Below are 20,943 nucleotides of genomic sequence, written 5' to 3' on the forward strand. Positions count from 1 at the left end.
CCCTACTCCAGCAGCCTGGGACCCAGATTGTCCAGGACAACTCCAAGTATAAAAACCCCTCCCATGGTCAGACTCAGGCTGGGGGTCCTGATTTGGGGTTTGGAAAATAAAGCTATGGAACACATGCCAGCATGTGCCCCAAGACATCTGCAGGGAACAGGTTGCCTGTCACCTTCATCACTGTCCTGACCCAACTGCACAAACCTTCCTAAGCTTCCATCCTCCTGATCAAAGCACCTCCACACTGAAACTGCTTCATTCATGCCGGTGTTGAGGGGTGTGAATGAGTTCCCCAGAACACCAAGCGAATGAAGCCCATGGCATTAAACTCATCCTGTGAAGCTGGAAACACATTCAGAGGAGTAAGTGATTTGCCTGAGGTCACCCTGCAGAGCAGGGGTTTATAATGGAGGAGGGGTGCAAAGTGCTCCGAGAGCAAGGCCCCTCCTGCAGATATGGAGAAAGGCTTCCTATGGGAGGTTTGACCGGGGGAAGAGTCACTCTCCAGGGCTAGAACAGGAAGGGCTGCCTAGCAGGGTGACGGCAGGTGCAACTCTGCAGAGGCATGAGGCAGTGGTGCCTGCAGAAAAGGAACCAGGCACACAGGGGAGGAGTTGGCTTCGTTGAATTCTGGAATCAGCTTCAGGAGGAATGCTAAGTCCTAAGCCCTTCTTCTCAGAGATGAGGAAACCCAGCTTCAGAGAGTTCTGGAGCCTGGCGAAGGCTCTGCAGCTGGTGTACTGGGAGCCCAAGCCTGCAGGTCCAGACCACGGCCCAGCGATGGCCTCTCAGAAGCACAACCCCAGGCCCCGAGAAGTCACATGATCTGGCTGGCAGAAGTGGCAGCCCCTCTGGGCAGGAAGCCCGTCTCCAGTGCTGAGTCATGCTGTCTCTGGCCAGTGGCACGGGGTGGCCCAGCTGTGGTGACTGCTAGGACTTCTGCTCCCCAGGCCTTCCAGCCTCCCTGGGTCCGCCCAGCTGCATGCCAGCCAGCGCACTGCCCTCCCCAGGACGTGGGGTGTCGGGAGGCCACCAGCCTCCAACCCTCCCTGCCTCTCACACTGCATGTGCAGGCCGGTGGCCCGCCCACTCGAGGGCTGTGAGGGAGGAGTGTCCGAACTGGAAGTGCAGGGCTGCAGGCTGTGTGCAGGGAGCTGGTGCTGGCTGAGGAGGGGTACTGGGAGGGGGCACATTTGCATTTTGAAGGAAGAAATGTGTTTGAGAAGTGGAGACAGGCAGGAGGGGCCTTCCAGCAGGAGGGAGCGCTTGGGCTCGGGCAGGCAGCCTCTCCTGTGGGCAGCAGAGGGAAGCTGAGGAGGGCGGCCCAGGGGCAGCAGCGGGAGGGGAGGCCCAAGGCTTTTCCCACTCCCATGAAGTCAGGAGGTGGAGGTCCTGGAAGCAAACCCTGTAGAGGGGTCCCACTTCCTGCATTCTTCCCTAGCTATAAGGCTCTGGGAGGGCCTCCCTTCCAGGGAGCAGCCTGGTTAGGAAGAGGAGAGCCTGGGAGCTGAATAGAGAGGCAGAGGCAGGACCCTGGCCCGGGCAGGAAGGGCTGGGCAGCACCGGGCTCCACGGGTGGGGCCGGCCACCGTTAGGGTGTCACTGGCCTCTGCCCTTAGTGGGGCAGTCAAGCCCACGGCCACTTTCGGGCAGCACGGCCTCTGTTAGACCATGCTGAGATGGCAGGGGAGGGAAAGGATGGGCCTTCGTGGGTGGGGACTCCACCAAAGCATCGCTGGGAGGCCATGGTTCTAAACCAATTACTCCTGACTCCTGGGCACACAGCCCTGGCCCCTCTGAGCTGATGCCTCCTCTGGGACCTCATAGAGGGTAACCAGGGCCTCCTGGGAAGGTGACAGAAGCGGCAGCAGTCCTGGAACCCCAACCAGCAAATAGCCCCCCCGCCCCCGACGGGAGCCCTGCAGCCTGCGGCCGTGTGCAGCCAGAGCTGGCCAGGTGCCCGAGCGCCTGCAAAGCACTCTCAGCTTTGTTTGCTTGCTGGTGCCCTGTCCACCCCTCCCGAAGGCAGTGATGGGGACAGCTTCTGCCCACGGTGGCTTCAGGGCAATGGGAAGTGAAGGAGGGGGTGCCGCAGTGTGGGTGGCACCAGCAGTGGGCTGGGTGGAGTCAGGAGGTGGATTCTCGGGTTCTCATCCGGAGCTGCCCCTGGCTCACAGCCTGGCCCGGGATCCATCTCGCCTCCCTCCGCCGGTACCTGCCACGGATGGGAATTTCAGGCCCCAGTCCCCTGGAGCCTCCTGTGACCCTCTAGGTCATGGCATCCAAGAGGTTGAAAGTAGCAGTCCAAGCTGGGGACTCTGCTGGCAGCCTGTCTGAGCTCCACGAAAGTGGGCACAGATGGGACCATTTTCTCCCCACGTGAGGACACCGTGCTGCCCAGATCACCCAGCTCAGCCCCGATGATACACCCAGGCCCCGAAAAGCTTTGCCTTGGAAAGAAAACGTAACTTAGGTTACTCCTCTGTTTTACTCTCTAGAAGGGGAAGAGGGCAGGCAGGGACCCTAGATCCTGGGGCTCTGTTCTTTTAATATAGAAGGGAGAAAAAGCTGATAAATTTGGGGGTGGGGCCAGTTCATTGGTTCAGCCAGTATTTCTTGAGCATGCTTTCTGCTGCAGCCTGTCCAGGCTTTGCACACAGAGATGAATAAAGGACACAAGCCCCTGCCTGCAGGAAGCCCACATTTTGATGAACTCACACTTTTGAAGACAGGCAAATATTCAGCTTATAACAAAAAGGTGGCATTAGACTATTCCATAAGCACTTACAAGTACACAGGGGGCGCAGGAAAGCCTCCGGCAGTGCCAGGATTGGGGGAGGCCAGTGAGGCTCTCATCTTGTACACAGAATAGAAAGGGCACCCAAACTCGGTCATCAAGAGAAACATTATTTTAGTGCAATGTTTGTTAAACTAAAAATTAATATAAAAATTTGTGATGAACAAAACATCAAAATTGTAAATAGAGACAAGACTGATTATTTTATGATGTGTGTGATTATACAATGGGAACAACAGCTTCCAATCAGCCCGCAGTTCCTGGCCAGGTGGCCATCGAGTCCCCTGGACAGCTTGATGATGACACAGAGGTTGGTGATGCCATGTGAACAGATTGGGCAACTCAGGGCTTTCTATACAGTCGCGGCTTTTGACTGGAGAGCCTCATTTTCCACTTGATTCAAAGGTGGGAAGTATTTTTATAAGCATCTAGAGGGGCGGGTATGAGGCTCCTCCAGCCTGAGCTCTGTCTCGTGTGGCCCAGCATGCACTGGCCTTCGGAAGAGCATCTCAGTGGGTTTCCAAGTGGGAGGAGAGTAGAAGACACAGGAATACCATTCAGTTGACCCACCAAGTGGACAGAGAAAAATGATCATTTTTTTTTTTTTTCCTGAGACAGTCTTGCTTCGTTGCCCAGGCTGGAGTGCAGTAGCATGATCTTGGCTCACTGCAATCTCTGCCTCTTTGGCTCAAGGCATACTTCTGCCGCAGCCTCCTGAGTAGCTGGGACCACAGGTGTGCGCCGCCATGTCTGGCTAATTTTTTAATTTCTGTAGAGATGGGGTTTCACTATGTTACCCAGGCTGGTCTCAAACTGCTGAGCTCAAGTGATCTGCCTGCCTCGGCCTCCCAAAGGTGAGCCACTGCACCTGGCCGGAAAAAAAATTTAACAGTTTTATTGAGATACGATGTACATACCATACAATTCACCCATTTAGAATGCACATTTCAATGGTCTTCCATAGATTCACAGAGTTGTGCACCCATCGCCACAATAAACTTTAGGATATTTTCATCAACCGTAAAAGAAGCCACATACATTTTAGAGTTATTCTCCATTTCTCTCCAAACCCCACCTGCCCTTCCTCCTCCAGCCCTAGGAATGACAAATCTACTAGGAAAATGAGATAACTTTTGCACTGGAAGTTGGATCTTTGCAGATCCTAGATCTGTCTTGGCAGCGTTGACACAAGTGTGTGCCAACACGATGACCCTGCACCTCACTGGGAAAGTCTTCACACACCCACACGGTCAGTTCCTAGTGCTTCTCCTCACACGTGCTCTATTTTATTTCAACTACTTTTTCACGGAAATTTTCTAAGATATGGTGAGAATGGCCCCATTTTCCTCCTATTCCTTAATAATAGGATCCCCAAGTTTTTGGAACTGCAAAGATCCCAGTTAAAGGATTACACATTTTCTGGCCTTCTTAATAGGCTGTGTGATGAAGTTCTGGCTGAAGAGTTGTGAGCAGAAGTGTTGTGTTGCACTTACCATCTCCTTAGAAGGATGGGGACAGCCCTTTTCCCTTTTCTTCTTCCTTCCACCTGGAATAAGGAAGTAAATGCTAGAGGTTTTGCAGCCATTCTGGGCCATGATGTGACTTCGGGAATAAAGACCATGCAGGGCAGAGAAACAGGAGATAAGAAGACTGGGTCCCCATTAGCTGGCACTGCCATTTTATTCCCAGACTGTCTGCCTCTCAGCTACTTAAAAACAGAAAATCAATCAACTTTACTGAGTTACAATTCAGAGAAAATAAAATGCACCCATTTTAAGAGTTTAATTCAACGAGTTTTGACAAATGTTGACACCCACGCAAATGCCATCTCAGTTAAGATACAGAGCATTCCCACAAATCACAGAAGCTTCCTTGTACCCCTGGCAGTCCATCTTCAGTGCTCCTCCCCCACCACACCTGCCGCAGTAACCACCTATCTGCTTTCTGTCCTATAGATTCATTTTGCCCTGGGCTACTTTTCCAAGAGCAAGAACTAAACGTTCATCTCGCTGAAGCCAATATTTTCCAGGCCTCTATTATTTGCAGCTGATTCGAATGCAAAACTGAATATAGATATATTACAGCTTCAAATAGAGGCCCCTAAACACTGTAATATTTTCTTGATAACTCCAGACCATCGTTAGACACCCTGTGCTTTAGATCGGTTTCCTGGGAAACAGATTTGGAGATGAGATTTGCCAGCAGGAGGTTTAATAGAGAGGGCCTTCAGGGACACACCTGTGTAGTAAGTGCGGGGCCACAGGATGGGGCAGCCCCCACAGAGGGTGCGCTACGGCTTCAGAGATGGCCTGGGCAGGGGCCTGAGCTTTGGTGTGCCCACACTGACCAGTCATCGGAAGTGGGCTATCCCTGGGGACACGCGAACCTTAGCCTACGGCAGTACCCAGGGAGTGACTCAGCCATGAGCCATCAGCAGGCAACACCCGCAACCACTGAGGCAGTGGATGTCTTGGCACTGATGGGAGTCAGGAGCTACATCGCCATGGCCAGGATACCACGTGTGCTGCTGGTTTCCCCCGGGGCTACTTAGATGTGAGGGTACTTCTCGCATCTGCCCTGCACCCCCCAGCAGCCACTCCACACTCTCCTGCACCCCAGGCCCTGGTACCCATGAATCTACCATAGGCCTCCAGGGCTCTGCCTGTCCATAGCCCCTGCTCTCTGTGTGATTTGTCTGATGGGCACATGCCTGGCGCTTGGTGGGTCCCGAAGCTGTGAGGGCAGCAGAGGCCTGGCCTTGGGGTCAGGGCCAGGAGTGTCAGGAGAGCTCTGCGCCTCCCAAGCCCCTGCTCATCTTCCTCCGAGTTCTCCGTGTGCTCTTCCTGGATCCCCTCCCGGTATCACCGCCACGCCTGGGAGGCGGGGGTTTCAGATCCCTTCTGTCTTCTGTCTCCTGAGCCGCCCCTTGTTGAGGATGAGTGTCTCTAGTGGCCATTTCTGACGTCTTTCGACATACGTGACTTTGGCGATGCGTGCTCCTGGCCTGATCCTTCTTCACTGTAAGCTTCACAGTGACTTCTCTGACCCTACTCGAAAGACCTGGCATGTCATATCCTTCTGAGCCACTGGCATTCTTCTGCCCCAGGAACACCCCACTGCCTCCCATTCCCGCCTTCGTTTCGGCATGCCGCCTGAGGCTTCTCCGGAACTCAGCCCACCAGTTCTCTATCAACCATCCCCTCCGTCCACACCTACAGCTTCCCCTCTACTTGGTTCCAGGACTGTCTTCCCAAAAGCCAATGTTCCTGGAACCTTGACTGTTAGACAGGCTGGATGTTACCATAGAGCAGAATCCAGAGTTAACAAGAGATGACATAAGGGATAAGGGATGCTTTTCAAATGCTACTTTTTAAATGAAAAATATTTTTAAATATAGAGGAGTACAGAGAATAATATATCAGACACGCATATATTATTGTTTCCAAAAACACTGTTTTATTATTAAAATTTATTATTGTTTCCAAAAACAGTGTATTTGGAAACAATGCAATGTCAGGTGCAGGTGAAGTCTCCTTTCTATCACCCCAGTCTCTCTCACCTGCCCTGTCCCAGAAGCAATCACTACCCTGAATCTACATTCTGTCTGATACTTTTACCACATTCTAATCTATTCAAATATACTCTCTCTCTCATTCTATATATATATGTGTATATATACACATATATATACACACACATATATACACATATATGTATACACACACATATACATATATACATATATACGTGTATACGTATACGTATATACGTATATATACATATATGTATACGTATACGTATATACGTATATATACATATATGTATACGTATACGTATATACGTATATATACATATATGTATACGTATACGTATATACGTATATATACATATATGTATACGTATACGTATATACGTATATATACATACATATGTATACGTATACGTATATATGTATATATACGTATATGTATACGTATACATATATACGTATATATACGTATATGTATATGTATATACGTATATGTATATATGTACATATACACATATATACACACACACATATATATATATACACACACATATATACACACACACACACACATATATATATATTTTTTTGAGATGGAGTCTCCCTTGGTTACTCAGACTGGAGTACAGTGGCACCATCTTGGCTCACTGCAACCTCTGCCTCCGGGTTCCAGCAATTCTCATGCCTCAGCTTCCCAAATAGCTGGGACTACAGGTGTCCACCACCACACCTGGCTAATTTTTGTATTTTTAGTAGAGATGGGGTTTCACCACGTTGGCCCAGCTGGTCTCCAACTCCCGACCTCAGGTGACCGGCTTGCCTTGGCCTCCCAAAGTGCCGGGATTACAGAGGTGAGCCACCATGCCCGGCCTAAATATACATTATGTTGTGTTGCATGTTTTAAATGCACGTATACAGTAATTACTATATGGTTCTATTCCTTGCTTTTCAAAATTCAACATCACTTCAGAGATTAATCCATATTGATTCACATGTCTAGCTAGTTGGTTTTAACTGCGTTTCAGTAGTCTGTAGTGAGAGTATCACATGCTGTATGTACTCCTCCCTCTATTGCTGGACATTGGGGCTGCTTTCAGTTCTGTTGTACAATGTTGCAATGGCATCCTTGCACATGGCTTCTGGACTCTGCAGGGAAGTTTCCTGAGGGTAGGTAACCAGAGGGAGCAATTGCTCGGCTGAGGACGTGCCTCTTCAACCTTCCTGGATTTTGCCAGATTGCTCTCCAAAGTGCTTTTCCCAATTTACACTCCTCCCCAGTGTGTGTGGAACCCACCCCCCCCCCCCCAATTCCTCCTCCATCCCTGGCATGGCTGGGTGGGAAATGCGATCTCACTGTGACTATTTTGCCTTTCCTCGTCCTGGATAAAGTTGAGCATCTTTCTTACATTTATTGGCCATTTGGATTTTTTTCTTCTGTGAAATTTCTCTTTCACCTTATAAAAGGGTTTTGCCCTTCAGGTTTCCTCTAATGTCATGTTCCAGCAGTACTTAAGAAAGTGTAGTCCCTGGCTGGGATAGAGGCTTTAGGAGGCTGAGGCGGGAATATTGCTTGAGGCCAGAAGTTTGAGATCTCCCTGGGCAACATAGTGAGACCCTGTCTCTACTAAAAATTTAAAAGTTAGCCAGTTGTGGTGGCACATCCCTGTAGTCCCAGCTACTCAGAAGCTGAGGTGGGAGGATTGCTTGATCCTGAGCATTTGAAGTTGCAGTGAGCTATAATGGAGCCACTGCATTCCAGCTTGGGCAACATAACCAGACTCTGTCTCAAAAGAAAAAAAAAAAAAGTGGCACCCCACAGGCCAGGTAAGGTATGGAGGAAAAAACCTTCCTTAGGCATCTGTAGTCCAGGGGCTGGCTCCCACCTGACATTTATTATCTATATGATTTGAGGTAAATGTCCTCCTTTCTGCTTTTTAAAAAGGCGTATTTATTTTTAATGTATGCAACTCAGGTTTTCAGTATATTCACAAAGCTGTGCAACCATCACCACCACTCTAATTCCAGAAAGAAACCCTGTCCCTACTAGTGGTCACGCTCTTCTGCTGTCAGCCTCTGGAGGCCACACATTAATTGTTGGTCTGTGTGGACTTGCCTATTCTGGGCATTTCATATAGATAAGATCATACAGTATGTGGCCTTTTGTGTCTGGCTTCTTTCAGGTCGCATAATGTTTTTGGGGTTCAACATGTTGCAGTATGTAACCATATTTCATTTCTGTTTATGGCTGGATAACGTTCCATGATACAGATACACCACATTTTGTTTATCCATTCTTCAATGATGGGTCTTGGGGTTGTTTCCACTTTGTTGGTATCATGAGTAGTCTTGCTATCAGGATTCACATGCAAGTTTTTGTGTGGACATAGCTTTTCACTTTTCTGGGGTACATACCCAGGCACAGAATTGCAGGGTCATATGGTAGCCTCTATGTTTAACTTTTTGAGAACTGCCACACTGTTTTTCACAGCCAATACACCATTTTGTATTTCTACCACCAATGTGTGTGGGTTCCAGTTCCCCCACATCCTCACCTCTCCTGTTATTGTCCACCTTTTGGATTCCAGCCACTCTAGCAGTGTGAGGTGGTATCTCACTGAGGTTCTGATTTGCATTTCCTTGGTGACTAATGATGTTGAACTTATTTTCATGTGCTTATTGGCCAATGTCTATCTTCCTTGGAGAAAGGTCTACTTATATCCTTTCTTATTTTTAAAATTGGGTCATCTGACCCAATTTTACTTATTGTTTCATTGTTGACTTGTAAGAGTTCTGTATATATTCTAGATGCAAGTCCCTTGTCAGATACATGACTTGCAAATATTTTCTCCCATTCTGTGGGCTTTCTTTTCACTTTCCCAATGGTGTCCTTTGAAGCAAAAAAGTTTTTCATTTTGATAAAGTCCAACTTATCAACCTTTTCTTTGGTTGCCTGTGCTTTTTGGTGTCATATCTAATAAACTACTAACTAATACAAGGTCATGAATATTTATGCTTATGTTTTCTTCTAAGAGTTTTATACTTTTAGCTCTTACATTTAGGTCTGATCCATTTTGAGTTAATTTTTGTATATGGTGTGAGGTAGGGATCCAACTTTATTTTTTTGAATTTGGCCATCCCTTGGAGAATCACTTGAATCCAGGAGGCGGAAGCTGCAGTGAGCCAAGGTTGCACTATTGCACACCAGCCTGGGCAACAAGAGTGAAATTCTGTTTCAAAAATAAAATAAAATGAATTTTGCCATCCTGTTGTCCAGCACCATTTGCTGGAAAGACTATTCTTTTTTCCCATTGAATTGTCTTGGCATCTTTGCCAAAAATCAACTGACAATAATTGAGAGAGTTTATCTCTACATTTTCAATTTTATTCCATTCATCTAGATCTCTGTCCTTATGCCAGTACCACACCGTCTTGATTACTGTAGCTTCGTAATAATGATATAGTTTCCCCAGAGGTAAACTAGAAAGCATGTTTCTTGCTTGCCTCAGAGGACTATCTAGGCCAGTAGTTCTCAAAGTGTGGTGCCTGGACCAGCAGCATTACATAGAAACTTGTCAGAAATGCAAATTCCCAGGCAACACTCCAGACTTGCTGAATCTGAAACTCTGGGGGTGGGGCCTAGCAATCAGCATTTTAACAAGCCCCGCAGGGGATTCTGATGTACCCTAAAGTTTTGCATTCACAGGTCTCTATGTGTGCTGTCCAATGTGTTAGCCACTAGCCACATATGACTATCAAGCACTTGAATTGCAGCTAATCCAAATTAAGAAATGCTGTAAGTGTAGAACACACACTGAATTTCAAAGACAGTAGTATAAAAAAATACAAAATATCTCATTCATAATTTTTAGATTGATTACATGTTGAAGTAATAATATGTATATATACATATATGATTAACATTATGTCCATCCCCCATTAGTCATGGAGCTATATGTTTCAGGGAGAAATTCACCTACTGTTCCTTGCAGGGCACGTCCTTGGCATATGCACCAGGAGCTCTAGCTCCCAGAACAGGAACCATCATCAGAAGCAGAGCTGGAAAGGCAGGCAGCCTTTTCCGGTTCAAACTGGTTTGAAGCAGAGGTCAGAGCTGCTGCTTGTGTTTGGCTTTGGGTTTTGTGTTTTAGCATGAGCGTTCTGCAGCCAGCCAGACTCTGGGCTACTCCCCTCTCTCCACTGACATGGAAAAGATGTCTGTGTGTTGTGCGGAGCCCCCGGCTGGGGCTTCTGACTTCCATGTTGGGGCCTGAGCTGCCGCTGATGTGGCGTCCCAACCTGTACTGGACAACCATGTGTCATGGCCTCAGGCTTGCCTCCACCCCACTGTGTAAACCAGCAAGGGCACAGAAGTCCAACCCAACTCTGTGGAGCCACTACTGTCACCACAAAGGGGTCCCAATCCAGACCCTAAGAGCGGGTTCTTGGACCTCGCACAAGAAGGAATTGGGAGCCAGTCCACAGAGTAAAGTGAAAGCAAGTTTATCAGGAAAGTAAAGGAATAAAGAATGGCTACTCCATAGGCAGAGCGCAGGGGCATGGGCTGCTCAACTGATTATACTTATAGTTATTTCTTGATTATATGCTAAACAAGGGGTGGATTATTCATGAACTTCCCAGGAAAGACATGGGCAACTCCCAGAACTCAGAGCTCTTCTCCCTTATAGACCATATATGGTAACTTCCTGATGTTGCCATGGCATTTGTAAACTGTCGTGGCACTAGTGGGAGTGTATTTTAGCCGGCTAACACATTACAATTAGCATATAATGAGCAGTGAGGATGACCAGAGGTCACTCTTGTCGCCATCTTGGTTTTGGTGGGTTTTGCCCAGGTTCTTCACTGCAACCTGTTTTATTTTTTGTTTTTCATTTATTTTTTCTTTTCTATGTCCCCCCCATTCACAATACAGACCAGGCACAGGGCCTGGGCTGAGGTGTATATTAGGTAGGTTTACTCTAGCTCCTCTTTCTGTACAGCCAGTGTAAGAACGCAGCCTGTGGGTAAGTACCAGGAGGCCTACCGCAACGTGTTTTATCAGCAAGGTCTTTGTGACCTGTACCTTGTGTCGACCTCCTATCTCATCCTGTGACTTAGAATGCCTAACCGCCAGAGAATGCAGTCCAGCAGGTCTCAGCCTTATTTTACCCAGCTCCTCCTCAAGATGGAGTCACTCTGGTTCAAATGCCTCTGACACTACTTGAAGATGTGTAGTCCAGGAGCACATTTCACATTTTACAAAGCCATTTCCCATTCCTTGGTGCCTTGGCCTCCCTCCCTTGGGTCATCTGAGAGAGAGCCCTCAGGGGGAAAGGAACTCAGAGAGGTTGGGTGTCTGCTCAGGTGATGCCGATAGCGTATGCTGAGCTGGGCCAGCACCGGTGGGCTCCGACTGATGGCTGCGATGGCTTTCTTTATTTGTGTGGGCAGAGTGGTCAGTCAGTGGGAGGATGATGATGAGGGTGAGGACATGACAACGAAGTAACATGCCCATCACTTCTTGAGGAGCTACCTCACCAGAGGCCCTTTGCACACATTGCCTCTTTTAATCCAAGCGAGACATGATTCATATGCACATTTTACAAATTAGAAAATTGGGACCCTGGATTGGGGCCTAATCAGGGTTGCTAAAGGGAATGCTTTAAGTTTGCTAATGAGGAGGAGGGAACAGCGAGTGGGGGAGGAGGAAAGCAGCTGTTTTTTGGGTTTTTTTGAGACAAGGTCTGGCTCTGTCACCCAGGCTGGAGTACAGTGGCATGATCTGGACTCACTGCAACCTCCACCTCCCGGATTCAAGCCATTCTCCCACCCCAGCCTCCCAAGTAGCTGGGACTACAGGCATGCGCCACCAGGCTTGGCTAATTTCTGTAATTTTAGTAGAGATGGGGTTTCACCATGTTGCCCAGGCTGGTCTCAAACTCCTGGGCTCAAGTGATCCACCTGCCTCGGCCTCCCAAAGTGGTGGGGTTACAGGCATTGAGTTTTCTTTTTTTTTTTTTTTTTTTTTTTTGAGAGCATCCAATGTTAGCTCATTTAAGGCTCTCGACCCCCCCAAGAGGTAGTTCGTAGGTCAAGCTGTCTACTTTATAGAAGAGCCTGGGAGTCCAGGGTTATCTGACTTGGAGTCCTGTTCATTTTCCTGGGTACCTCCAAAGGCCGCTCGGTGAGTGGACAGTGCAGTTCTGGAGCCCTCCCCTGGCAAGTCCCGCTCCGGCCCATACCCCGCCCTGTTCCCCAGCAGCCACGGTCGGGTAGAGGGGTCAGGGAAGCAGGGCAAGAGGGTAAGGCACTGCTCAAGAAACAAAACCAGGTCCTTAACGTCCCTAGTCCTGCCGGGCAGTGTCCCAGGACCCCGGCCTTGAGATTAGAGAGAGGCAGAGGGCATACGGAATGGGAAATAGAAGAAAATGTACCAGGACATGCTTCCTGTCTTATGCTTAGACTGCCATGACGAAATACCACAGACTGGGTGGCTTCAACAACAGAAAGTTATTTCTCAGAGTTCCGAAGGCTGGAAGTTCAAGATCAAGGCACTGCTGGCTGATTCCTTTTCTGGTAAGGGCCCACTTTCTGGCTTGTAGACAGTCACCTTTGTGCTGTGTTCTCGCATGGCCTTTCCTTGGTGCATGGAGAGGGAGAAAGATTTTTCTCTCTTCCTTTCTAAGACCACCAATCCTATGACTTACAACTCCTTTAACGTTAAGTACCTCCTAAAAGTCCTATCTCCAAATACAATTACATTAGAGGTTAGGGCTTCAACAAAGGAATTGGGGTGGTGGTGGTCCACAGCAGGGGAGGGGATATTTTAGTTTATCTTGAGCTTGCAAGGATGAAGGGGAAAGAGCGGGGGTGGGGGGGTGGCATCGGAACCTGCCTCTGAGTCACACTTCCTGGATGAGCCATGGGCCACAGCATCTGTATCAGGAGTGGTTACAAAACAGCGTGCCTCAGGGATAAACAAGCTGACCTAATGATCCAATTTTCCCAGCTCTGGTCCATCTACAGATTTGAGGCAGGATCCAGTGATTCTGCTGGCTGACTGGTCATGGTAAATTTCCAACTCTCCCCTTTCCAGGCACGGCTTTGGTTTCCTGCTGCAGCTGCTGCTGGGGAGTTATCAGGGCATTTCCTCCGCCTGTGAGCTCCTGGGGTCAGGGGAAGGTTGGGTGGCCAGAGATGCTGCCTCTACCCTAAGTCAGCGTCACCCATGCTATTCCCAGCAGCTGCATTTCTCCACTCTGTAATTACAAATGAAACTGGGGAATAGAATCAAAAGAGTACCTAGAAACAAGCTAGCCTCTACTTCCTCAAACATTCTGGGGCAGGAGTTTGTGCGCTGGAACAATGTTATTTGCAAGATTCTCCCTGGTGGATATACACTCAAGTATTAAAGTGCTACAAGGAATTAAAAAAAGAATAGTATTTCTTCCAGAGCCTGTGTGGGCCCAGCACAATGACACTGAATCTGGCTGTTAAACCTGGCTGTTGCTGATTCTAATATGTGGCCTTGGACATTTCATTTTTCCAAGTATAGCTTTCCTCATCTGTAAAATATGGAAACAATCTTTAGAATGTCGGAGATAGTGTATGTAAAGGTACTTCAGAAACAATAAAGTCCAAATCCCAATGACATTTTTTGCAGAAATAGAAAAACCCATCCTAAAATTCATATGGAATCTCAAGGGGCCCTGAACAGCCAAAACAATCTTGAAAAAGAACAAGGCTGGAGGACTCACACTTCCTGATTTCAAAACTTACCACAAAGCTACAGTAATCAAAACAGTGTGGCACTGGAATAAAGCTTGACATATAGATCAATAGAATAGAATAGAGAGCCCAGAAACAAACCCTTGAATATATGGTCAAATGATTTTTGGCAAGGGTGCCATGATCACTTAATGGCAAAAGGACAGCTTTTTCAACAAATGGTGCTGGGAAAACTGGATATCTACATGCAAAAGAATGAAGCTGGACCCTTACCTAACACCATATACAAAAATTAACTCAAAATAGATCAAAGACCTAAAAGTAACCTAAAACTATAGAATTTTTAGAAGAAAACTTGGAGCAAAATCTCCACAATGTTGGATTTGGCAGTGATTTCTTGGATATGACATTAAAGACACAGACAACACAGAAAAATAGACAAATTGGATTTCATAAAAATTTGGTGCATCAAAAAGCAAAATCGGGCTGGTGCGGTGTCTCACGCCTGTAATCCCAGCACTTTGGGAGGCTGCGGTGGGAAGATCACTTGAGGTCAGGAGTTGGAGGCCAGCCTGGCCAACATGGTGAAACCCCGTCTCTACTAAAAATACAAAAATTAGCCAGACCTGGTGGCGCACGCCTGTAGTTCCACCTACTCGGGAGGCTGAGGCAGGAGAATGGCGTGAACCCACGAGGCAGAGCTTGCAGTGAGCCGAGATCACACCACTGCACTCCAGCCTGGGTGACAGAGCAAGACTCCGTCTCAAAAACAACAACAACAACAACAACAACAACAACAACAACAACAACAACAAAGTGCTGGCGGTGAGGATGTGAAGAAATTGGAACCCTGTGCACTGTTTGGCAGAATGTAGAATGGTACACTGTGGAAAGTATTATTATGATGCTTCTTCAAAAAATTAAAAATAGAATGACCACATAATCCAGCAATTCCACTTCTGGGTATATACCCAAAACAACTGAAAATAAGATCTTGAAAAGATATTTGTGCACCCATGTTCGTCGCAGCATTATTCATAATTGCTAAAATGTGGATGCAACCCAATGATTTCTTGACAAACGAGTGGGTAAACACAATGTGGTATACACACACATGGAAATATTACTCAGCCTTAAAAAGGAAGGAAATTTGGACATACACTACATCATAGATGAATCTTGAGGACATTATGCTAAGTGAAATAATCCAGTTGCAAAAAGGAAATACTGTATGATTCCACTTATGTAAGGTATTAGAGAGGTAGTCATTATTTAATGGGTATAGAGTTTCAGTTTTACAAGATGAAAAGAGTTCTGGAGATGGATGGTGGTGCTGGTTGCACATCATTAATGTATTTAATACCACTGAGCTGTTCACTTTAAAAGGATTAAGATGATAAATTTTATGTTATGTGTATATTATAATAAAAGTTAGAAAAAAATTGTCATAAAACTAAGTCAGATATTAAGAACAATCAGAATTACTTCTGTCTTGTTTACAGTCATCATATGAAAAACAAATTGTTTATCTAGCATGACACCTGTTATGGGTTGAATTGTTTCCCTCAAAAGATGCTGAACTTCTAACCCTTGGTACCTGTGAATGTGACCTTATTTGGAAATTGGGTCTGCACAGATGATCAAGTTAAGATGAGGTCATTAGGGTGTGCCCTAATCCAATAATGACTGTGTCCTTATGAAAAGGGAAAAGAGACAGGTATATAGAGAAGATGTGAATTCACAGGGAGCGCACATGGCCATCCATAAGCCAAGGAATGCATGAGGTTACCAGAAGCTAAGAGACAGACATGAAACAAACTGCCCCCCACATCTCTCCAAAGGGGCCAGCCCTGCCAACACTTTGATCTTGGACTTCCAGCCTCCAGAGCTACAAAACAACACATTTCTGTTGTTTAAGTTGCCCAGTTGGAGGTGCTTGTTACATTAGCCCCAGGAAATTATACAACATCTTACCTGAATTTGCTTTCTTCTTTGCTCTAGTTAAATTCAAAACTACATATTGAATAACGACGGTGTGCTCTCTCTCCATGAAGCTTCGGGGTGGGTAGACAGTCCTCCTCTTGAAGGAACAGGAGGGACGCAAGGGAAGGGACCAACTTGTATCTCATCTGAGAGAGATACACTCCTGGAATAAGAGGTCTGCGGTTAAGTGTGTTTCTCTAGAAGTTCAGAAACAGAGGAAGCATCTGCGGGCTAAGCTGCTGAGGGCTAGGTGAGAGCTAACTGACCTAAGTTTTGAAGGATGGATGGGTGACAGGTTGGAGGGGGAAGATGGAAAAGTCACATGGGAGAGGAACAGCATGGGCCAAGTGTGGAGGAACCAGTGAGTGGGCTGGGTTTCAGAAACAGGCCTTGGTCTGCTTTTGAGCCCTCCCTGAACTTTTCCACCCCAACCCCACCTCCTGCCTGTGTCTGCCATGCACCTCCCTTCCTGTGAGTCTGTGGACAGACTTTGCCCCTTTGCCCTGTGTGTGCTTGGGAGAAATCTGCTCAGTTTCTGTGGCAGGGATGTTTCTACGTGTTCATCAAACCGGCTTTGTTTACTTCCGAAACACTCATGAAGACCACAGCTGCCAGAGCCCCTTGCATCCTGGTGGGACTGTGCGACTACTTCTGGCCCATGGATGTGGGTGGAAGTGACGTGTGCTTCCCCAGGCCTGGCTCCTGGACCCCACCGACGGCTTCTCACCTGTAACCCCACCAGCCTTCTACCTGGATACTTCACGGGGAGCTAGAGTGGCCTTGGCTAAGAAGGAGGCATGGCACCCGCGGGTACCGGGCCGCCTTCATCAGTCGGTGCACTCTGGTCCACCGCCCACATGCCTTCATGTAATCTTCACTGTAGGGCCCACAGGGAGGGGAACTTCCTCGAGGTCTAGCTTTGCCTTTCCGCCTTCAGAGCCAAGTAAGAATGAGGGGTCTGGGCTCGGCCCACCTTCCCTGCAAGGCCCTGTGCCCGCTCCCCTCAAAGCTGGTCTTGCATGTTGCTCTGGCGGCCTCTGTAGCAGGAGTTCACTCTGTTTTCCGTGGAGGAGGAGTGGAAGGAGGGATTCAAGCTCTCCCCTAGAGACGCTAGAAAGACAGTTTTGTCTCAGCCTCATACGATCGCCCAGCTCCACATTTCTGGCTGTTTCTGTGGTTACCTTTCTTCGGGGATGTTTGGGGCGGGAGGTGGGTGTGTGTGTATATTTGCTCTTCTGAAGCCGTTTTTCCGGAGCTCCTGGTGGGGGTGGGGGTGCTCTGTCCCTGGTTCCTCTCGAGGCAGGTGCAGGGGATGGAGGATGCCCCCCTCCCCGAGAGCCAGGAGGCGCCGACCCTGGGCAGGAGGTGCCAGACCGGCGCCTCTCCCGCGTGGAGCTCGAAGACCACAGATGCCTGGAAGGGAGGAGCACCTTCCGTGGTTAGGTGGGGAAACCGAGGCAGAGGCGGCCCAATGGACTCGCCTAAACGGCCTGGGGAGTCACTGCAGGTAACCAGAGCTGGAGCCAGGCTTCCCACTCCAGGCCCGGGGCTCTCCCCCGAACAGGCGTGGGAAGGGGTGCGAGCTGCACGCGGGGCTGGGGCTGGGGGTGCGGGGCTGGGGCAACTCGGCTCTTCCCCTTCCTAGGCCGCCCGGGCCACTTCCTGCGGCGTGGGGGCGGGGGGCGCGGGCGCAGGGCTGGCCCCTCCCGGGCGCCGCCTCTCGGCCTCTTCTATACCAGCAGGCCAGAGGCCAAGGGTTAGGGGAACAGAACCGGTGCCCGGCTCCGCCCCTGTCCCGAAAGCCACTGGGGGCTGGGACCCGGCAGGGCCAGGTTTGGGCCGCGAGGGCCGAGGAGCAGCGAGGTGCAGGGGCTGCGAGGGCCGAGCCGGGCGCTGAGGGTCCGGCAGGGGGCGTGGAGGGGGCGGGGCCCGGAGGGGGCGGGGCCGTAGGAAACTTGAGCGCCCGCCTCTGGCCGCGCGCCCCGCCCCGGCCCCCGCCTCCGGGTCCCGCCTCCAGGTCCCGCCTTCGCGTCCCTTCCTTCCCGGAGCTGGCAGGCGGGCCGCGGCGGCGGCGGGCAGCGGACGGGCGGACTGACGGGCGCCTCCACCTTGCTCCCTCCCTGGCTGCCGGCTTCCTTTTGTCTTTCTGGGCGGCGATGAGCGCAGGGCCGGCGCAGCAGCTGCGGGCGCACGGAGGCCCGCGCTGCTAGTCACTCCTCCCGGCCTCGGCGCGCTTGTCCCGGGCAGCGGCCCGGGCCCGCTGCAGCCGCCGCCGGCGCCGAACTTGGGCTCGGGAAGCCGGCGGACCGCGTCCTGCGCCGGAGCAGGTAGGGAAGGGGCGGGCTGCGGTCTGCTGGCTGCTGAAGTGTGCCCCGGGCGTGTGCACCCGGCGTGTGCACCGGCGAGCGCTGCGATCCGGCTCTTTGCGTGTGTGTTGTGCGCGCGTGTGTGTGTCCGGGAGTGCCCGCGTTTCTCTGCGCGGTGGAGTTGTGGGTGACTGCGGACGGTGGTGTGTCTTTCGAATGGCGTGTACTCGTGGGCATCCATGTGTGCCTTAGGTGTGCACATTTTGGACTGCGTTTGTGGAATTGTGTGTCGGGGCGCAGTTGCTGGTGGGGAGCGGTGCCTGGCGGGTGTCGTGTGTGAGCAGCTGTGCGCAGAGCGGGGTGGCGGGGTGGGTGTGGGTGGTCCAGCCCCACGCCCAGAGCCCCCTGTCCCTGCTGGTCGGCGCAGTGCGTAGCTTAGGAGCCTCGAGGACAGCTGGGACCCGACGGGCAAGGGCGGGCCTCGCGGGCAGGCTGGGCAGCCCTCAGGGAACAGGTCCGTGCGGCCCACGTGGGTCGCCTGTGAGCTTCTGCCAAGGGTGGGGGCCCACGCGGAGGCGATCCGCTCGTTCCTCCCAGGGCCATGGGGCGACGAGGAGAGCCCTGGCCTCCCCGCGACCCGCACTGCGACCTGGGCCAGACGCGCCACCTTCCCCGGTCGCGGTTTGCTTCTCTTTAAAATGAGGACAGCTCCTCCCTTGGGGGCTGTGGTGACAGGTGAAATGAGAACGCACTGAAGACAGCTCTTGGTCCAAAGCCCCGCACACAGTAGGTACTGTGTTAATTGGATTAGCGTCTCCTGTTTAAAATCCTTTTTTTTTCCCCTTTATCGTGGGTGGGGCCTTACATTTTCCCCGGGCGTGTTTTGTGCCTCTCCCTGGCCCTAACTTAACCGCGAAGCACTGAGATTCGAGAAAGTTTAGCTGCCAGCTGCGCTGCCTCCTGCAGCACCTCCCGGGCGGCGCCGCCTCCGCGAGTGCCCGAGAGCGCCGCGCTGGGCGCCGGCCCTGCCCCAGCCCCCAGGCTCCCGCGCAAGCGTGGGGGTCCCTCTCCTGGCCGGGAGGCAGCGACTGCGGAGTTGAGAACCCTTTGGTTCAACAAGTTCCTAGTCCGGGAGGATGCAGCTCAGCTCGTGGAGTCCGAGAGTCACGGCGTAAAATTGGCGCTTCCCGCACATGCAGATCTCGGGCTCCCGGGGTGTCCCGGCCGCCAAAGGCCACCCCTTTCCTCCTGGCTGACCCCAATTCCACCAGAGGAGGATGTTTGCCAGGGACGCCGAGTCCAGCTGCTGGCCTCGGCATTAGACAACCCCCAGCCCCAGCCCCTGCCATCCCTGCTCCCTTGCAGCCAGCCTCATGCCGGGGGTGCCACATGGGACACCTCCTCCTAGTCCCACACCTTAATTTAAAACATTTACTTTTGAAACCTACTAGTCGTAAAATTGAACCGCAGTGAACGAGCACCCAGCTCTTACCACGACTCACTCTCTGGAGAGTTCTGGCGCCTCGGCGCTGGCTCGGACGCAGCAAGGCCAGCTCTAGGGGTCGGGTGGCTCTCGGCCAGAGCGAAGGATATTCTTTCCCTTCATCGCCTTGGTGTCTTTCTCTGGGGGAAAAAAATCGCCTTTAACCAAGGGAGCCAAGATCTCACCAGTGCAGGAGGCTCTCAAAATGGAGCGCCGGCATGGGGTTGGGCTGCGGAGGGGACAGCATGGGCGGCCTTTTGGTATGGATGCGCTTCCCAACTGTCAGGGGCTACGTGATGGTGTTCCCAGAGAGGCGGGCTGCTTTGCGGGCTTTTAGGAGCCAGGGATAGAAACCTGGTCCGGTTCCTTTGGTTTCCCTCGGCCGAGACTGAAGCCCTGCAATCCTAGCCATGGCAGGCCAGGGGGATGCGATGAACTCATTTTCTCATTTTTCATCCTGACTTAGTGACAGGGGCACACTTAGAATGCACCCTGTTTTCTGTTTCATCAAATGATTTTATGTCCTACAAGAAAAAAGGGCTTTTGGTGTGAATCCTACTCTTTCCTCATAATCAGGTTCCATAATAATATTAAAAAAAAAATCAGTCTGGCTTTCTCAGCTCAGAAGACAGACCCAAACCCAGGTTTGTGTTTTGTTTTGTTTTTGTTTTTTTCTAGTTAAAGCCAGCCCTTTGTCTCAAGCAAGCCAGTGTTTTGGCCTTAGATCTATTTCTGTTTCACTTTTGAAAGTGCCTGTAATTACTGAGCTCTTGAGGTTTTATTGGATAATGTGGCAAAGGGAAGGCCCGGGGGCCCTGCCTCTCCCTTGCGGTGGGATGTGGTGCCACGGTGGCACATTCTAGCCTTGCCTGCTCCCTCTGCGTCCCACTTTCATGCTGTTTTTAAGGTGGAACAGAAATGTCAATGTGTGATAACAATTTGGGAGACTTTGTCTTTGGAATCCAATAAATGGAAGGTCCTTTGATCTGTGGAGAAACCAGAACAAGTCAAAACCCCAGAAGAACAGAGATTTGCCCAAACTCCAGCCAATGACCCATTTATTTCCAACAAGCCCTCCTAGAGATAGATTCTAAGTGAAATACAAGAACGTGGACACACT

The 20,943-nt window shown here is 50.2% G+C and overlaps 1 protein-coding gene, 1 long non-coding RNA gene and 1 other non-coding gene across 16 annotated transcripts in view, besides 11 other annotated features; 1 reads left to right on the forward strand and 2 right to left on the reverse strand.

Moving 5' to 3' along the window:
- Positions 991 to 1,490: an enhancer, noted in NCBI's record as "H3K27ac-H3K4me1 hESC enhancer chr2:10425933-10426432 (GRCh37/hg19 assembly coordinates)". NCBI's record gives its function as "activates a minimal SCP1, AML or CMV promoter by ChIP-STARR-seq in naive H9 embryonic stem cells {active_cell/tissue: H9 hESC(naive)}" and the evidence as "EXISTENCE:reporter gene assay evidence [ECO:0000049][PMID:30033119]".
- LOC101929691 (uncharacterized) lies at positions 2,895 to 17,901 on the reverse strand. 3 transcript variants are annotated; one of them, XR_922791.3, is made up of 4 exons: positions 16,762 to 17,901; positions 16,026 to 16,197; positions 4,291 to 4,343; positions 2,895 to 3,665 (listed from the first exon to the last, which is right to left on the reverse strand). It is a non-coding gene; the product is annotated as an uncharacterized LOC101929691 (long non-coding RNA). The 3 variants fall into 3 exon arrangements; XR_007086210.1 differs by having other exon boundaries at positions 17,008 to 17,703; XR_001739282.2 differs by having other exon boundaries at positions 4,291 to 4,399; positions 16,762 to 17,628.
- Positions 4,326 to 5,525: an enhancer, noted in NCBI's record as "P300/CBP strongly-dependent group 1 enhancer chr2:10429268-10430467 (GRCh37/hg19 assembly coordinates)". NCBI's record gives its function as "activates an origin of replication core promoter dependent on BRD2, BRD4, P300/CBP, MED14 and CDK7 cofactors, with strong dependence on P300/CBP, by STARR-seq in HCT116 cells {active_cell/tissue: HCT116}" and the evidence as "EXISTENCE:reporter gene assay evidence [ECO:0000049][PMID:35650434]".
- Positions 4,326 to 5,870: a biological region, named in NCBI's record as "P300/CBP strongly-dependent group 1 enhancer GRCh37_chr2:10429268-10430467".
- Positions 5,371 to 5,870: an enhancer, noted in NCBI's record as "H3K4me1 hESC enhancer chr2:10430313-10430812 (GRCh37/hg19 assembly coordinates)". NCBI's record gives its function as "activates a minimal SCP1, AML or CMV promoter by ChIP-STARR-seq in naive and primed H9 embryonic stem cells {active_cell/tissue: H9 hESC(naive and primed)}" and the evidence as "EXISTENCE:reporter gene assay evidence [ECO:0000049][PMID:30033119]".
- On the reverse strand, positions 11,231 to 11,364 carry LOC124900530 (small nucleolar RNA SNORA51). The gene has a single exon (XR_007088723.1). It is a non-coding gene; the product is annotated as a small nucleolar RNA SNORA51 (small nucleolar RNA).
- Positions 12,996 to 13,608: a transcriptional cis regulatory region, noted in NCBI's record as "candidate enhancer chr2.403 targeted for multiplex CRISPR interference". NCBI's record gives its function as "positively regulates HPCAL1 gene expression with high confidence in K562 cells {active_cell/tissue: K562}" and the evidence as "EXISTENCE:mutant phenotype evidence [ECO:0000015][PMID:30612741]".
- Positions 13,107 to 13,401: an enhancer, noted in NCBI's record as "tiled region #12273; HepG2 Activating DNase unmatched - State 8:EnhW, and K562 Activating DNase matched - State 5:Enh". NCBI's record gives its function as "activates a minimal TATA promoter and a strong SV40 promoter by Sharpr-MPRA in HepG2 and K562 cells {active_cell/tissue: HepG2 | K562}" and the evidence as "EXISTENCE:reporter gene assay evidence [ECO:0000049][PMID:27701403]".
- Positions 17,623 to 18,402: a silencer, noted in NCBI's record as "silent region_11160". NCBI's record gives its function as "represses an Ori minimal core promoter by ATAC-STARR-seq in GM12878 lymphoblastoid cells {active_cell/tissue: GM12878}" and the evidence as "EXISTENCE:reporter gene assay evidence [ECO:0000049][PMID:35858748]".
- Positions 17,623 to 18,484: a biological region, named in NCBI's record as "ReSE screen-validated silencer GRCh37_chr2:10443229-10443426".
- Positions 18,088 to 20,943, forward strand: part of HPCAL1 (hippocalcin like 1) — a 124,701-nt gene continuing 121,845 nt past the window's right edge. For 11 of the 12 annotated variants that reach the window (XR_007073115.1, XM_047444095.1, XM_047444099.1 and 8 more), the window contains exon 1: positions 18,088 to 18,361. The gene's annotated coding sequence lies outside the window, so the exon portion shown is untranslated. Of the gene's footprint in view, positions 18,362 to 18,883; positions 19,127 to 20,943 lie in introns of those variants that run through there. The other variant, NM_134421.3, reaches the window with a different exon arrangement.
- Positions 18,287 to 18,484: a silencer, noted in NCBI's record as "fragment chr2:10443229-10443426 (GRCh37/hg19 assembly coordinates)". NCBI's record gives its function as "represses an EF-1alpha promoter that drives an FKBP-Casp9 reporter gene in an ReSE screen in both phorbol 12-myristate 13-acetate-treated (for megakaryocytic differentiation) and untreated K562 erythroleukemia cells {active_cell/tissue: K562 | K562(+PMA)}" and the evidence as "EXISTENCE:reporter gene assay evidence [ECO:0000049][PMID:32094911]".
- Positions 18,663 to 18,722: an enhancer, noted in NCBI's record as "active region_15300". NCBI's record gives its function as "activates an Ori minimal core promoter by ATAC-STARR-seq in GM12878 lymphoblastoid cells {active_cell/tissue: GM12878}" and the evidence as "EXISTENCE:reporter gene assay evidence [ECO:0000049][PMID:35858748]".
- Positions 18,803 to 18,982: a silencer, noted in NCBI's record as "silent region_11161". NCBI's record gives its function as "represses an Ori minimal core promoter by ATAC-STARR-seq in GM12878 lymphoblastoid cells {active_cell/tissue: GM12878}" and the evidence as "EXISTENCE:reporter gene assay evidence [ECO:0000049][PMID:35858748]".

This window comes from Homo sapiens, chromosome 2 (assembly GCF_000001405.40).
Source record: "Homo sapiens chromosome 2, GRCh38.p14 Primary Assembly".
Classification (NCBI taxonomy): Eukaryota; Metazoa; Chordata; class Mammalia; order Primates; family Hominidae; genus Homo; species Homo sapiens.